This window comes from Homo sapiens, chromosome 8, assembly GCF_000001405.40.
Source record: "Homo sapiens chromosome 8, GRCh38.p14 Primary Assembly".
Lineage (NCBI taxonomy): Eukaryota > Metazoa > Chordata > Mammalia > Primates > Hominidae > Homo > Homo sapiens.
Window position 1 is genome coordinate 134,910,664 of NC_000008.11, and position 16,695 is coordinate 134,927,358.

The following is a 16,695-nucleotide window of genomic DNA, read 5'->3' on the forward strand; positions in this document are numbered from 1 at the left end:
AAATGAAAATGATTGATACACATCAAAAGTGTTACCAGCATCGGATAATAAAACCCAGCTCAAGTCTCTCTTTAAAAAGCTCACTCAAGGAATTTAACTGAAAAGGCAGATTCCTTAGAGACTCAATGATAGGGAATTTAAGAATGAGGAGAGTTGGTAATGGTAAAGAAAGTTACATTTGTTAACGTTTCAGGCACTTTATATAGGATACATTTTCTAATCCCCCTCATATTGCAAGACAACCAGCATCAGCCCCAGTTTTGCAGGAAAGGAAACTTGAGGCTCTGATATGTTAACCAGTGTGACCAAAGTCATGCATGTCATTGGCAGTACTGGTCTCTGATTAGGTTTCTGTGCATGTAGCCTCCACATGAATGATCCCACCATCAAGAAACCCCATGAAAAGGGCCATTGGTAAGACTGTGGCTTCATGCAAAAATTATGTGTCTCTGTTGTTGCAGGCCTCCTTTGATTGCTTCTTGCACAAGGCTGAGTCCTGGTGCACCTTTGTCATCCACAGAAGAGTGAGGGCTGGCAAAGTGGGCAGACACGGGGTCAAATCCCAGCTTCTCTGCTTATTAGCTGTATAGCTTTGAACAAATAACTCTCTTGATTTTCTGATCAGTAAAATGGTGGTGATGATGTTGCCTGCTTCACAGGATTGTTTTGAAGATTGACATACTGAATAGAAAGTCCTTAGACATGTACCTGGATATAGGAGGTGCCCAGTAAATGTTCACTCAATAACTGGATGTCTTATTGAGAAATTAATGGTGTAGTGAATTTCCCCCTTTTGCTTTGTAATAGACTCCTCCCAACCCCACCTCTAGCCCTAAAGATACCTTGCTATGAATTTGCAAAGTCCTTCCCTCCCTCAAGATACTCTGTTTTTGTCTTCTGGAGATGCTCTTAATAGTTACATCTATGATGACTGTGAATATGAACAGCATTTTCTAGGGTTATACAGGGTGAAACCTCTACAATAGTTCTCCACCACCCCGAATCACAAAGCACCATTTTCCTTTTCCTGAAAGTAAGAGGAAGACTTCATGTCTTTGGGGGATTGCTCTCCCTTTTCCCAGGGTGGAACTGACCCATGGGTGGAGGCTCAGCTCTTTCCTGGTTGGGGTGGGAGTGGAAGCTGATTTTCCAGAGGAGAGAAGGACACAGGCTCAACACTGGAAAAGGAGCGTTGAACTTCCTGAGCCACAACGATGAATATGGGAGGGTGGGATGAGGGAGATGCCGAGGCAGTAAGACCTTGAGATGGGATACAGTGGGAAGGTTCTGGGTGGACTGAGCCTACTTGTGCTGTGGTGTGGGCTCTGGTTGACTTCTCCTGGTAAAGATCTCCAGGTTCAGGGGAAGTGTGGTCCCCAACGAAGCCTTTCCCTTCAAATGGACCCTAAAGTACTTGACAAGGAGAACTGGGAGCTGCCACGGCAGCCTTGATAGACCAGAGGCTCTTCCTCATGTTTTTGACTGTAAAAACCTCACATCACATGTGTTATGGTGTGTCCGTTAATAACATGAGATTTAGAGGCACAGTACTTGAGATGAGATCTTTCTCTGTCAGTACCTTGACCTTGGGCAAGTTAATCAGTTTCCTTATCAATTGCATGGAAATGCTAATAGTGCCTAACCCAAAATGTTGTCATGGGGATTAAATGAGTTAATACACATGAAGTGGGCAGAACAGCAGGTGGTATACAGTAAGCGCTCAATAATGTGCTAACTATTTGCATCATTTTAGAGTCTCCAGGGAGGTGGGAGGTCTCCCAGATCCCTCCACTCATTATCTGAGAATGGGTTCATTGCCAATCTTGGCTGATGAGGCTGACATAAATTTATTTTTATTTAAAAATACATGAAAATATGCCATTTCTGGCACCAGAGTGTTAATGAAGCCCTTCATAGACACTGCAGCTCTTGTCATCATCACTGGGGTGTGTGGTGTTCTGCAGGCCCAGGGCCTCAGCTGCTGTCCTGCTTCAGACGCTTTCATGAGGTGTCCTACAGCTCAGTGTTCTCCCATCACTCTCCCATCCCAGCTGTTATCTCAGCTGTTTTCTTGGTTTGTGGTTCTTTATTCCCTTTCTGAGCTATTCAGAAATGCTGTCCATTCTAGGCTCTGCTTTCTGACTCCTACACACAGGGCTTGGCCTCTTCCTATCTTCAGTCACTTCTTCCCCTTGATCTTCCCTGTTTCCCAAAGACCCAAGAAGTATCCTCCAAAGGCGTCTTAGCCACAGAACACAGAGCTCAAGGCAAAGCTTACATGCCAGGGCTTTGTTGTGAGGTGCAAGCCCAGGACAGCAAGAGAGCGTGAACAGAAGAAAAGTAGACGGGGAGAAAATGAAGGCAAGGATGCATCGTGGAGCTACTGGAACTCCACAAGAAAACACGTTTGGGGGCTGGACGTAGTGGCTTACACCTGTAATCCCAGCACTTTGGGAGGCCAAGGTGGGTGGATCACCTGAGGTCGGGAGTTTGAGACCAGCCTGTCCAACAGGGTGAAACCCCGTCTCTACTAAAAATGCAAAAATTAGCTGGGCATGGTGGTGGGCACCTGTAATCCCAGCTACTCAGGAGGCTGAGGCAGGAAAATTGCTTGAACCCAAGAAGAGGAGGTTGCAGTGAGCCGAGATCATACCATTGCACTCCAGCCTGGGTGACAAAAGCAAAAGCCATCTCAGAAAAAAAAAAAAAAAAAAAAAAAGCAATACACATTTGGTTACTTGGTCATGTAGGGTGTCCTTAGTGAACCACAACTCAGAACAATCCGTCACGGGGAAGAAGGGACAGAATATAGCTGCCAGCTCTTTCTCATCTCCTGCCTCTCATTGGTCAAAATTTGCTCCAGGAGGGTTAACTCTTCTGCACTTTCCGGATGTGATATGCAGGTGCTCTGGGGGCTGATGGAGAAACCAGACTCCATGACTCAGAGCACAATCCTTCATCCTGCATCTTGAAGTGGCTGGGGGGCCAGACCTGGGCTTGTTCTGGTTGAATCTGAACGTCCGAGGTGCTTTGGCTCCCACTGCAGAGGGTGTCATGGGGGATGCTGAGAACAGTTGCTGGTATTAGGAGATGAGGCAAGGAGGGCAGTGCCAGGGTCTTCTTTAAGTGGCCAAGTTGTGTCCTGGGGAGGCAGGTAGGTGGGATGAATGTGCATCTGGGTGTGGGTGCTGCCCTCCCTCTAGTGACTGAATGACCTAAGCTTAACTCCATCATGTGCCATCACCATCGCAACATGTGGCTGCAAAATTCACTGCCCAGGGAAAAAGCATGATGGATGAAGCCCTCAGGTTCTTATCTCCTTCACTTGAAAGGACACATTCCACTTCTGCTCATCGCCTGTGGTCCTGTCAATGGCCTTACCCTTACTTCTCGTGAAGCTGAGAAATGTAGGGAGTCACCTGGAGGAGTCTTGTGATTGCTCCCTCTCTCTGCAACACCGCCTCCAATTTCCCCTCTCCTTTCCTTCAGTGTTAGTTGTTTGTATCAATACTCAGTATTTACATGACAGTGGTCCTGAAGATTCACCACTCCAGTCTCTTGCTGTGGTTCCAAGCTGCTGTCCTATTGGAACTGCCCCGCATCAGGCTTCCTTCAGCTGTCCCCAGTCAAGTAGTACCCAATGCGTGGGTAGTAATTCTGGCACCTTTCTTCTAGGTGTGAGATTCTTAATGAGGAACTTTGGCTGGAAGACTCCGCATTGGCCTATCCAAAATGTTCTTGTTAACTTTCTTTTTTTCCAAAATATCAGAACTGCCAGGTCTTAACATTTCCTCCCCTTTCTCCTTTACTGGTGTTTTCTCCAACACATCTCTTATACCTCTTGTAGTGTACACTTCTCAGAGAACCGCAGCTAACACATGCTTCATGATACTTTGTAGATGTTTTCCAACTCTGAGTTAAGGAGTGTACTATACTTTCCTGTAGTTAAAAATTGTGTCATGTATTTCATTTAGTTTTCTAAGGATCTACTATTTACCATTTTTACATGAACTAATGTCACAAATGCCCTCAACCCATTTTATTTGCCTGAAGACCTTCCTCCAGGTATGTTTTGGCCCCTTCCCCAGTGTAGAGTGGGGCTCCTCCAGGCCTGGATATTGTGCTGTTTAGATCCTCCCTTTGCCTGCATTACATTTCCTATATTCCTCTTGACTTACTTTCTTGTATTGCTCCAGTGTAACCTCCAGTAGCTTTCCAAGAAAAGTTGCATACAGGATAACAAGGTAACTTCTTAGGCTGGGTGTGGAGGCTCACCTGTAATCCCAGCACTTTGGGAGGCTAAGGTGGAAGGATTGCTTGGGAACAGGAGTTTGAGACCAGTTTGGGCAACATGGTGAGACCCCGTCTCTACAAAAATAAAAAAATGAAAAAAATTAGCTGGCTGTGGTAGTTCACGCCTATAGTCCTAGCTACTAGGGAGGCTGAGGTGGAAGGATTGCTTGAGCCCAGGAGTTTGAGGCTGCAGTGAGCTATGATCCTGCCACTGCACTCTTGGGTAACAAAGCAATACCCTGTCTCCTAAAAACAAACAAAGAGAAAAGATAACTTCTTGACTGCAAATATTTGCAAATGTCTTTATTTTAATCCTTCCATTGAAAATAGTCTGATGGTATTCTGATTCCAGTTTCTTTGTACATGACTTTGTTTCTTGATGTGGAAGTTCGCAGGATCTTAGAATACTTTGTCTTAGTGTGGGTCTTATTTACTTTACTGCACTAGGAATCGATGGCTCTTCTCCATCTGAAGATTCAAAAGTTACTAAAAGATGGATGATGAAAAGTCAGTTTCCTCCCTAACCCTGTCTGCTGGCTGTGTTCTTTCTCATCCCAATCAGTTACTCGTGTACGTCTGGAGCTCAGCCATTATGCTCAGGCTGCTTTGTCCCCTGGCATTACCTTCAACATTATTAACATTTCCTCAACCCATTAAAAAGTCTTTGCAAACATCCTTTTAGTAGCATCTCAATATTCTAATACATGGATATATCATAAAATTGATTTGATCAATTCACTCATGTGAAGTGTCAGGCTCTGTCTACTTTTTATATTGTAAACAGTGACCTGATAAGCATGCCTGTAAATCTTCATATATATTTCAAATTCTTTCTCGATATTCTGTTTCCAAAGTATGTTCACATGCAGGATCTCAGTTTTGGGGTTAGAGTGGACATGGTCTCCTGTGGTTTGATATTCTGTTCTCCCCATGGACGGTTAAGGATGGGGCCTCATTTTACAGGTAATCAAGCACGAATGTCAGGGAACATTTGGTCATCTCTTGCTCACACGCAGAGTGCAGAAATTCCCTTCCTGCAAATCACTTTTTGCTAAAGGGAGGCTTTCTCACTCATGCCAGATGACATCATCTCCAGGCCCAGCTGTCCGCAGAAACTCAAAGCTGTGAGCCTTAGAAGTCACGATTTTCCAATCCTACTTTGAGCTTCTAAAGCAATGACAACAAAAAATTATACACCTTGTTCTTCCTCTCCACAAGTTCTGAATACTTAGAGAGTTCAGACGGTTTTAGAATTCTGCTCTCAGCAAGATCTGATGCACGCAGGAGAAGTACTGTATTATATTGGTTGGGCCGTTTTCCTCTTTAAAGCATTTTTATATCTGGAAACACATCTGATCCCCACTCCACCCCTGCAAGGTCTCAGAGCCAGGCTTGCTGTCCCTCTTTATGATTAAATGGTCTCAGAGTGGGGTCAAGGTCACACAGTGATTTCAAGGCAGATCTGGGTCCTGATCCCTGGCCTTCCAAGCTTACCTCCAGCTGGTTTCACTAGGCAGCATAACTGGGGTGCTTTTAGAAAACAGAAACATCATCAGAGAATCAGGTCGAGTTACTGGTTAAAAAAAAAAAAAAAGACTTAGGATCTCTGGAGTCAGGAGTGACCTGGGTATCAATCCTAGCAAATCTCTTCTTGTCTGAGTCTCATGGTTTTTAATTTAATTTTTATTTTTCCTGCAGGGAGAGAATAATGCCACCTATCTTCAGTGTTGTTATGAGCATTAAAACTTGAGAATGAGAACATATATCATAGTGCCTGTCATATAGCTAGGATCTCAACCCTTCTGAATGTCCTATTCAACATGGTGGCTCACAGCTCCCAAAGGCTTGCATGCTGACACAGAGTGGGTGAGCCAGGGGGACGCCTACCATGCAGCATCACTTCTGCCACATTTTATTGGTTGAGGGAGTTACAAAAGTTTGCCTGGGTTCAAGGGAAGACAACAGAGATCCTCCTTGATGAAGGGGTGTCACACTCTAAGAAAAGTATATGTGATGATATTTATATTGGTGCAACCATCTTTGGAAAGCACAATCTACATCCTACCATTTGCATGACTCTTGGCTCCTGTACCCACAAGGTCTCTAGTGATTATTTTCTTGGACAAGGGTTGTAGTTGCCTGCTCACCAGCCATTCTACTTCCTTCTGGCAGCTGCACCCTGATTCCCATTTGGGAGTTGCTCCCCCAGGATGTGAAGTTTCAGTGGGACTGTCAAATGTGGGCATGAACCTCAAGCTTAGCCAGTCAGGTTCTCTCCTCCAGGAATCTGAGTCTTGAGTGGAGTTACAGGAAGCAGAAACTGAGAAACAATAAATGGCTAGAGCTATTTCTCCTGGTGGTGACCAGGACCTGGAAGCTGCTCTCCTTGCTGACCTTTCTGAAGCAGGCTGTTCCGCTTTGCTGCAGATGCTTAGAGCTACTCCATATCCTTCCCTGAGTTTATTTTTTTTCCCTAAAGTTAGCCAGATGGACTTTCTGTTGCTTGCAACCAACAAAGTCTAACTGGCACCATTGCTATTTAAAATGCTAATACACTGTCACTCTTATAATGCAATTAACTGCCATTAGTGCTGTATTCCACCAACCAATAGCTAAAGCAAAAGAGCGAGAGGCTCTGCCACCTGCTCCAAAGTAAAGACAGGGATGACCTCCTTCCCTCTGGATTCACTACAGTGAGATGTGTGGAATGATCACTCCCAGATGGAAGCAGGAGACATGGGCTTGAATTTCAGCTGTTCTGTGTGACCTACAACAAGTTATCACACTTCTCTGAGCTCAGGTTTCCTCACTGGCATATGGGTCCGGAGGATATTCACCAGATATAAACTTAATGAGAGCAGGCATTGTGTCTTATTCTCTCTGTATCACAAGGAGTAGCACATAATATATGTTAAATAAATAATGGTCACATATAGGAATAATGGGACATTGAAGAACTACTTTACAGAACCACCAGATAATCACCTCTTTTAGGTAGGGACTATTTCTATTTTATTTGTTTATGTACAGGCCCCAGCACAGCCCTGAAACATGAAGTAATTAGGCTAAATATATTTTATACTTAAATTCGTTAATGTATATAGTATAATATGACATAATATAGTATAATGTAATGTAAGTGCCAGGCATGCATTTGCTGGTGCACAGAGACTCTTGCCTAGGAAAGACAAACTTGGAGAAAGTGTTCATTTCCAAAGTTTGCTTTTCCAGTTTGAACAGTGCATTAGGATTTCAGAAAGTGAATTTTGAATACTAACTCATCTGTTTCTGCTTTTATTTGACACCTCTGATTCCCATCTTAGGTTCTCCCAGCTCGTGAATGAATTGGAGTTGTTCCGCTCTGCTGCCAGTGATGCAAAAACTGTGTGCATGTGTCTGTGTGTGTGCATGCAACACGGGCATGTGCGTATGTGTATATGTGCATCTGTGTGCATGGGTGTGTGCAGGGCAAATGGAAGCCCACTGGCTACCTTTTCTTCTTTTCCAGTGCTCAAGGTTTTGGTGAGAGCTGACCGTGCGAGGGTTACTGGCACGTAGTTCTCAAGGCAGTTCTCACCTACAGCACTCCATGCAGGTAGAAAAAAAGAGGAAATGATCTACTTTCCCATTTTCCCAGCCTCACAGGAAGGAAGGGCTTTAGGGGATGGCTGGCTGGAGTTCATCCATGACAGCTTCGGTTTCCTAATTCTCAGAAAGGTCTGTCATGGGTGACTGCACACATGTGTCAGTTAACTTTTGCTGCATAACAAACCATGCCAAATGTAGTCGGGGAAGATAGCAAGCATTTCTTCTTCTTTTTTTTTCTATCATTCTGTGGATTGGCTGGGTGGTCTTCTATTCTGAGCTGGTGTGGCTATGTTTGAGTGCTCTAGAATGGCTTTGCTCTCTTATCAGGGTCTCTAATGCAACAGCTGGGACTCTCCACCTGGTGCCTCATTCTCCAAGAGGCTAGCCCAAGCTTGTTCACATGATGGCAGAAGATTCCTGAGGAGCAAAGAAGAGCAGATCCCAATGTACATATGCTTTTCAAGTGTCAGCTCGTATTATGTTTGCTGTTGTCCTCTAGGCTAAGGCAAGTCACATGGCCATGCCTAGATTCAAGGTGGGAGCAATAAATCCCACTATTTGATAGAAAGAGTGGCTGAGACCCATCGCAAAGGAGCATGTGCCCAAGTGGAGGGAATGCATGGCCACTTGCAAGCTACCACAGCACAGATAGATAGGCCAGGGCAGGCAGTAAGATGTGGAGAACAGTGCAAGACGATAGTCATCCACCTGGTGAGCTCTGGAGGACACGGAAGCATGCCATCTGTTTGTTAATCAAGCAGAGAGACAAGCCTTGCTTTCTTCTCTGTTCTCAGTTGGATACTGGAGAAGCAGACAGTCCTTGTCCTTAAGGAGACCACAGCCTGGTGAGGAAGGCACAACTCTGCCTAGGGAAGATCATCATGGGCAGCTGTCAGAGACCCTGGAGAAACAGGCTGAGGACCTCTAGGAGCTGTAGGAGTAGCCAGCACCTGCGGGGGGCTGAATGAATCAGGAGTGGACAGCAGGCTGAATCTGTGGAGGACCCAGAGACTAATTCCAGCAGCAGCTCAGGTTTGACCAAGAACATCCCAGATTAGGGCCTGGAGAATGCTGAAATCTTAAAACTTTGCAGCTGGAAGGAGGTTGGATTTTATTCTCTTCAGTCATCTTGTTCTATAGCACCGTGACCATGGCTCTTATTATATATTTTTAGAACATGATTATTAGTCAGGACAGGTTAACCGCTGTAACAAGCCAACTCCTGAATCCCAGTGATTTACCTGTTAAAGGTTTATTTCTTATTCTCACCAAGTCTGTTGCAGATGCTCCTAGCCACAGGTGGTCTTCTATGGGGTCATTCAGTGACCCAGGTTCCTCCCATGTTGTGGCTCTGCTCTCGTCCTGGGCCTGGGGGCCCTCTGTTAGACCCTGCATTTGGCCACCAAAGGAGGAAGAGGCTGTGGGAGCATTTTGTGGGCCAGGCCTGACCACATCCCCATCACCCACATCCGCTGGCTGGAGCTTGGTCACATGGCTCACATTGCAAATAAGCTAGGGAATAAGGATTAGCTGTGTGCCCATGAATACAGTGAGATGGGCTAGGGAACACATCTCGGTGCCTACATGTGAACACCTCTTTGCCTGGAAAGCAAGTTCTTCAGGTGACTGGAGTCATATTTGTCACACAGTCCCAGGACCTGTCCCAGCCTCTAGGGAAGGGAAGGTGCTTGACCCACATGGACTGAAGGCACCCAACTCTTGGACTTTGCCTTGACCTTGGGCTCTATCCTCATTCATTGGAGTCAGTGCCTAAGCCCAGCTTTCTGTTTTTCTCTGGCCACAGCTTTCTTGGGGCTCACGTCACTCTGGCTATTCTTGATCCTGGCCTCTATCCTGACTCCAGTTTCTTGGCTGCAAACCCCAGCCCTGGGCCCATCCATCTCCCTGTGAAGACCAAGACAATCAGACAACCAGGAGTTTCTTCCATCAGCCTGTCCTCTACTAAAGCATCATGGATCCTTTAGTCACATCAAGCTTCTAGCCCCAAACAGGCCTCCACCAAAATGACACATCCAGAAACTTTCTCAGCAAGAAGAGAAGCCTGGTCCATCCCAGGCCTGTTTGTGTCAGATCAAAGACACAGCTGGCTGGAACACATAATCAGCCTGACCCCAAAGCCGGCAGGGCCCTGAGGCCCCTGCAGCTGCAATGAGGCCTGAGCAGATAATTCCCCCTCCCCAGGCCATGCCAGTGGGCAGCCTCTCCCCCTGCCAGTCCCTTGTCAGCCTCAGACCCAGAAAGGGCAACTCTAGGGAGGAGAGATAGGAAACAAAAAACCCCCAGCATGCTGCCCAGTGTTATTTCTCAGCATGGAAAAAGAATGCCAGTTCAAAGGGCTGCCCCACTTTCCAGCAACAAGGTTTACCTTGGGGAGGAAGGGGGCATGTTGTGTTGAAGCCCAGGGGAACCATTAAAAGAGATGTTTTGGAGACAGCAAGCAGGCATGCTTTTGATAAAGAACTTTGGCTTCATCTCTGAAAAACAGAAATTTGAAATTAAAAAAAGATCAAGACAGCATTGGAATAAATAATAGCTGCCATTTTTTTCTGTCTCTATATGACAAGTACTTTTTATGCCATTGAAATAATCTTCCAAAAAGCTTGTAAGGTGGGCATATTAACAATATTTTATAGATGAAGAAACTGAAGTTCAGAGAGTCCGAGTAACTCTGTCAAGGTTATATGTTTCCGTGTGGCTGGGTCAGGGCTGGAACCTGGGACTTTTCTGATTCCAGAACCTATTTCTCCCCTACTATTTCATACTTTCCAGATGCCAGGTTTTTCTTCCATAATAAGAAAGGGTCACTGCTGCCCTAACTTAGCCTTTATAATCTTGGGGTATTTGTGCCTAATAGCCCTTTCCACTGTATATCAGTTAAAGCTCACAACAGTCCTATGACAAGTACGCTATTATATCCCAAGCCTTTTGAGGATAAAAGAAACCGAGAAACCTGAAATGACTTGCTCAAGGGCCAGGATGAGGTAGAGGCAGGAATGGAACACAGCTGCCGGATTCCATATCCAGTGCTCGTTCCTCCACACCAGGGATTGGCAAACTATGGCTCCTGGGCCAAGTCTGTTGAGCTGCCTCTTCTTGTAAGGCCTGTGAGCACTTTTTTTGTTTGTTTTTAATAACATTTTTAAGATTTGTTTTTACATTTTAAATGGCTTTTAAAAAGTCAAAAGAAGAATAATATTTTGTGGCATGTGAAAAATTTCAGTGTCCATAAAAAAGTTTTATTGGCACACACCCATGTCTATTTGTTTCTTTATCGTCCATGATGCTGTGCTTCAGGCTCTGCTCTCGGACGGCCCTCAAGAGCACCCTGTCTGGGGCACTTCCTTCCTCTCTTTGATGTACTGGAATGATGGACCACACCCATTTTCCCCTCACCCTCTAGGAAATCTGAAGAAGGCTTTCTTCTAGGAAAGATATATTTTTATTTTTTTGCAAAATGTTTAGGCTCTAGGAGTAGTGAGTAATCAAAATGCAAAAGTAAGAAGGAGGCCAGGACTTGAGGGAGGAGAAACTTCTGGGAGCAGGAAGAGGTGAGGACTCTGCCTGCCAGACTCAGAGATTTCCCTGAGCAGGGTTGGGTTGGGTAGGAGGAGGGCTAAGGGTCTAGGCTCCTAGAGGGTGAGGGAAAACAGGTGTGGCCCATGACTCCAGCATATCAAAGAGAGGAAGGAAGGACCACAGCCAGGGTGCTCACAGTGCAAGTAGAGCCTGGAGAGGAGGAGGAGCAGAATGACAAGAAAGGATGTTGAAAAACGGGGCCCTGGGTCTTGGGGTGCTGATGTCATCAAAGGTTTCCCCGTGCCCAAGCTGTGCAGCTGCAGTCACCTGACTCTGAGGGGCCACCGTGTGTTTGGAGGATGAGAGTGGCATTGGCAACTAGGAATGAGTGTGGAGGAGAAGCTGCTCCCTGCCCTGTGGGAACCACATGGGATTCCTGGGACTGGGTCCACCTTAAAAAGTGAAGGGGCCTAAAAAATGATCAAAAAGGGATTTTCTGTCAGCCCACATGGGATAGGGGTACAACGCTGAAATTATGTTGAGTTTAAAGAAGATACATATTTCTTAACCATCTTGTTACGCGTGCGTCTAATTGAAGAGACAACCTGAACAGGCTAAGTGTGAGCAACAAGGCTGTTTATTCACTTGGGTGTGAGTGGGCTGAGTCCAAAAAGGGAGTCAGTGGAGGGTGGTGGGATTGGAGCTAGTTTTACAGGTTAGGGGTAAGCAGTGGAAAGTTACAGTTAGGGGCCCTTTATTGTGGGCAGGGGAAGAATGTCCCAAGGTACATTATCACAAGGTGGGAGGGGTCACAGAGCACAGTGTCACGAGGTTGATTGATCAGTTAGGGTAGAGCATGTTACAATGGTAGAATGTGGCAAGGTTGGCTAATCAGCTAAGACAGGAACTGGCTGTTTTTCTTCTTTTGTGGTTTTCCCGTTGTCCCAGACTTTCTGACTCCAGGAGACCTTCTGGATGTGTATGTGTGTGTCACAGGGGTTATAATGGCTTGACCATAGCGCAGCCTGCTCCAAGGACCTTACACATCTGACTCTTTGGACTGACAGCCATGTCTGCTACAGGTGTGAAATGCTTTGAATAGCCAGGCCCAGGCTGGACACTCAGTATTAGCTCCTCCTCCTGGTCCCCCTCCTTTTTATCATTATTATTGCTAAGACAAAGCTGAATTTTGACTCCTCGTTTTCCTAATGTTGTGACTCGTCCTAAATCAATAGCTATTGGGAATGTTCTGGGTGCTCAGTTGTTTTGTAGGTCTTGATGGGAAGATCTGAATAGAGATGTGGTTTCTGGGTGGATCAGAAACTCTGGAAACTGGAACAATGATGAATGATGCAAGAGAACATAGATGTGTGTGGCACAGCCCAGGAAGGGGTGTTCACAGAAAGGACAGGTCATCGAGATCTGCAGGAGAAGCTGAGTCTCAGGATAAGGGATCGTTAAAGGAGGAAGATGTGAAAGGAAAATAAATCTTGGGGCCCCCAGATCACTAAGCTAATGGGAAAAGTCAAACTGGGAACTGCTTAGGGCAAACCTGCCTCCTATTCTATTCAAAGTCACCCCTCACTGAGATAAATGCATATCTTATTGCCTTCTTTGTAGAGGGTAATCAGAAACTCAAAAGAAGGCAAACATTTGTCTCTTATCTACCTATGACCCGGGAGCCCCCTCCCTGCCAGTTGCCTTGCCTTTGCTTTGAGTTGTCCTACTTTTCTGGACCAAATCAATGTTCATCTTATGTATGTTGATTGATGTCTCATGTCTCCCTAAAATGTATGAAACCAAGCTGTGCCCTGACCACCTTAGGCACATATCCTCAGGACCTCCTGAGGCTGTCATGAGTGCGCATCCTTAACTTTGGCAAAATAAACTTCCTAAATTGACTGAGACCTGTCTCAGATTTTTGGTGTTCACAAAGACAGAGATGACCAAGTACAGCCCCTTCATTTTACGGATAAGGAAACTGGAGCCCAGAGAGGTTCAGACAGGTCGAGAGACTTGCATGAGGTCATACAGTGAGTTGGGGGAAGAAGTAGAACTTGAGTATAATTACCTGGATATTTTCATTTCAAAGCATCCAATGGCTACCTCCCTAGACCTAAGATGTCCATTAAATTAATAATGATGATAATAGTTAACATTTATTGAACACTCACTCTGTGTCAGTCATCATGCTCAGAACTTTATTAGAAATCATCTCCAATGAATCCTCATGGACTCCCCACTGTTTATAGAACATAACCTAATTTCTTTAGCAAGAGCTTCATGGTCTGACCTCAGTCAGCCAATTCTTCTTCTTCTCCTTTTTTTTTTTTTTTTTGTTGAGACAGAGTCTTGCTCTGTCACCCAGGCTGGAGTGCAGTGGTGCCATCTCAGCTCACTGCAACCTCTGCCTCCTGGGTTCAAGAGATTCTCCAGCCTCAGCCTCCGGAGTAGCTGGGACCACAGGTGCACACCACCATGCCCGGCTAATTTTTTGTATTTTCAGTAGAGACAGGGTTACACCATGTTACCTAGGCTTGTCTCTAACTCCTGACTTCAACTGATCCACCTGCCTCAGCCTCCCAAAGTGCTGGGATTACAGGCATGAGCCACCGCGCCGGGCTCAGCCAGCCAATTCTGGCTTATTTTCCATTACTCCAACTTCTGCAGTCTGTGCCTGTGTCGACAGCTCCCTGACCCATCAGTGTACATATTGGCACCCTTCACTTCTGCCCTACTCCTTCTTTCTCATTCAGGCAAGGCCAGCTGGAGCTTTGACTTTCCTTTCAGGACTTGGCATATGGTGGGTTTGAAAGCGTACATCTGCAGCTGCTTTCAGGAGAGTGAGTGAATGGTGCTTCTTGGCTGAGCAAGAAGATTTGAGCAGAGTGGAGGATGACGGGGACAGGTCAGAGGAAACTGGAAGCTACACAGAGCAAACATTATCCCTTTCTTCTTTTGTACACCCATTCTATGAATATTTACCAAGCCCCTGCTGCTCCACGCAGTAGGTAGTTGGGGATTGGGAGAGGTAACAGGCATAAATGATTCCAATACAGGGAAGAGAGTGCCCAGAGCCATAAGGGAGCTGATTCATCACGACAGCTGAGAAGGGATTGGTTATTTCTGTCTTTGCTATGCGGGATGCTTTCTGAAGAACTACCATTGGTTCTGAGTCTAGGTGGTGGGGTAGGTTATAGAGGTGCAGAAATGAGGGGGAAAGGAACTCCAAGTGTGATTATCAAAGGCACACAGGTGGAGGGGAGTTTGAATTGTGGGAGGGTATGTGAGGTGAGAGGAAAGCCGAGAAGGACTAGAGCAGTAAGACAGTGCAACCGAATTGGATACGAGTGAGCTAAAGGCATCTGTGAGGTGGGGATATCGACAGAGACCTCTCACCCTTATTGAGTCTGTATGATAAGCAAGACACATGCCTAACAGCTTTCAAAGTAGTAGCTCCTGTTTTCCGTACAACATGGTCCCCATTTTACAGATAGGAAACGAGAAAATAGAAGTGAAGTGACGGCCTTTAGCCAGGAAGTGGTGGTCACAGGATTCAGGCCTGGGGAGTGTCTGCTACTTCTGCTCCTCCTCCACTTAGCATGGGGTAGAAGGGGCTGGAGGCAAAGAGGCAAAATGAACTCGGTTCAGAGGAATGGTGGCTAATTCTTATGTGTAAAGTGGATCTTCCCAACCACGAAAATCAGGGTCATTGGAACCACAGGCTCAGTCATGTCCCTGAGGGTTGCCAGATTGCAGTCCTGTGATAAATCAGGTGGGGTGCCCAGGGCCCGTGAGGAACGCCAGAAGGGCTGCGGGGCCTCGAAGACCTTCCAGTTACACATCTGGTAGAGCCACAGCTCCTCGTGCTCTGTCATCCCTAAGCCCCTGCCTGTCTCCCTTTGTTTATGATTACTGAAGGCATTTGCATGAAAACAGGCTTTTCTGTCTTCTGAAGGCTGGGCTTCCTGCCGAGGTTTCTCACCTGAAGCCCCTGAAGCCGTAATTCTCCATTTGTGGCTCCATAACCATCTCCCGGGTGGCTAATTACAGGCCATATGTTCCTGGGTGTGTGCTGGGAAGGCAGGCAGATCAGCTTCCATGTCTGCTTCCGTTCCCGTTCCTCTTTTGGACTCGCTTGCTCTAAGCCTGTCCTCCATAGCGTCTCTGCAGGGCCTCCGTGAGACTGTTTTCCTCCGCAGGTAGTGTTCCATTTTGCAGATGACCCCAGCTGGGCTTAACTGGGCATTCACAAGTCTGCTTGCCAGCATCTCAGTGTCGGCCAGTTGGCAAAAATCAGCAAATGGGCAGGTGATGTCTGCTGCTTCAATCTCATGCAGGTGGGATGATGAAGTGGAAAGAGCTTTGGCGTAGGATTTTGGAAGTTGAGTTCCGGTCCTAACTTTGGAGAAATCTCTTTACCTCTCTGGTTCTTAGTTTTTTCTTATATAAAATGAGATTTGATTAGATCAGTGGTTTCTAACCTGATTCCTAGGTGTCTGAAAGATAGTGATGATCATGGGGGGCATTAAAACAGCTTTGAACTCCTTCCAACTGCAAACTCCTGGAGAGAGAGAATGGCTGCCGATTCATCTTTGAGTCTCCATTATCTAGGACAGTGCTTGGCTCAGAGGGTGCAAACAATGACGTTTGTTGAAACATGAAGGCCTTTCGGAAAGTCTAACAAAACCTGTTCGTTGACCCTGATGAAGCTGGGTAGGCTAACAAAACTTTGAATTCTTTAATGATTAGAATTACATTAAGGCTGTACTGCTCATGGGTTTTTTGACTGCATAACTGAGTCTGCATAACTTAAGCAAGAAGATGACCTTTGGGAAGTGTGCTGGTGAGATACAGGAGTGATGAAAAGGCTGGAAACCAGGCTCACAAAAATGACAGACACCACGGGAGGGAAGGTAGCTGAGAACACGGGAGCTTCAGCGTTCAAGATAGGAGAATCCCGTTGGATAAGCCTAGGTTGTGTGGCTGCCCAGCTGCTGCGTAGCGAGGAGAGGGGTTACTAGGGCTCCTGAGGTTTCTATACACTGTGCTTATCACCAAGACTGTAATACAGTTTGGGGATTACTGCCAAAGAGGAAGGAAATTTACATTTTGGGTAGCCAAAACATGACAAAGAACCACTGCACCTAGTACCTCTGTTTCTGTTCTGCTTATCTGGAGCTCTGCTTGGGAGTGGCTTTGGTGAAAAGGAATGGGAAAATAAATTTACACATGCATTTTGATATATAAAACATGTGCATTCCTGGCCAGGCGCAG

The 16,695-nt window shown here is 46.0% G+C and overlaps 1 annotated feature.

Moving 5' to 3' along the window:
* Positions 15,050 to 15,568: an enhancer, noted in NCBI's record as "NANOG hESC enhancer chr8:135937956-135938474 (GRCh37/hg19 assembly coordinates)". NCBI's record gives its function as "activates a minimal SCP1, AML or CMV promoter by ChIP-STARR-seq in primed H9 embryonic stem cells {active_cell/tissue: H9 hESC(primed)}" and the evidence as "EXISTENCE:reporter gene assay evidence [ECO:0000049][PMID:30033119]".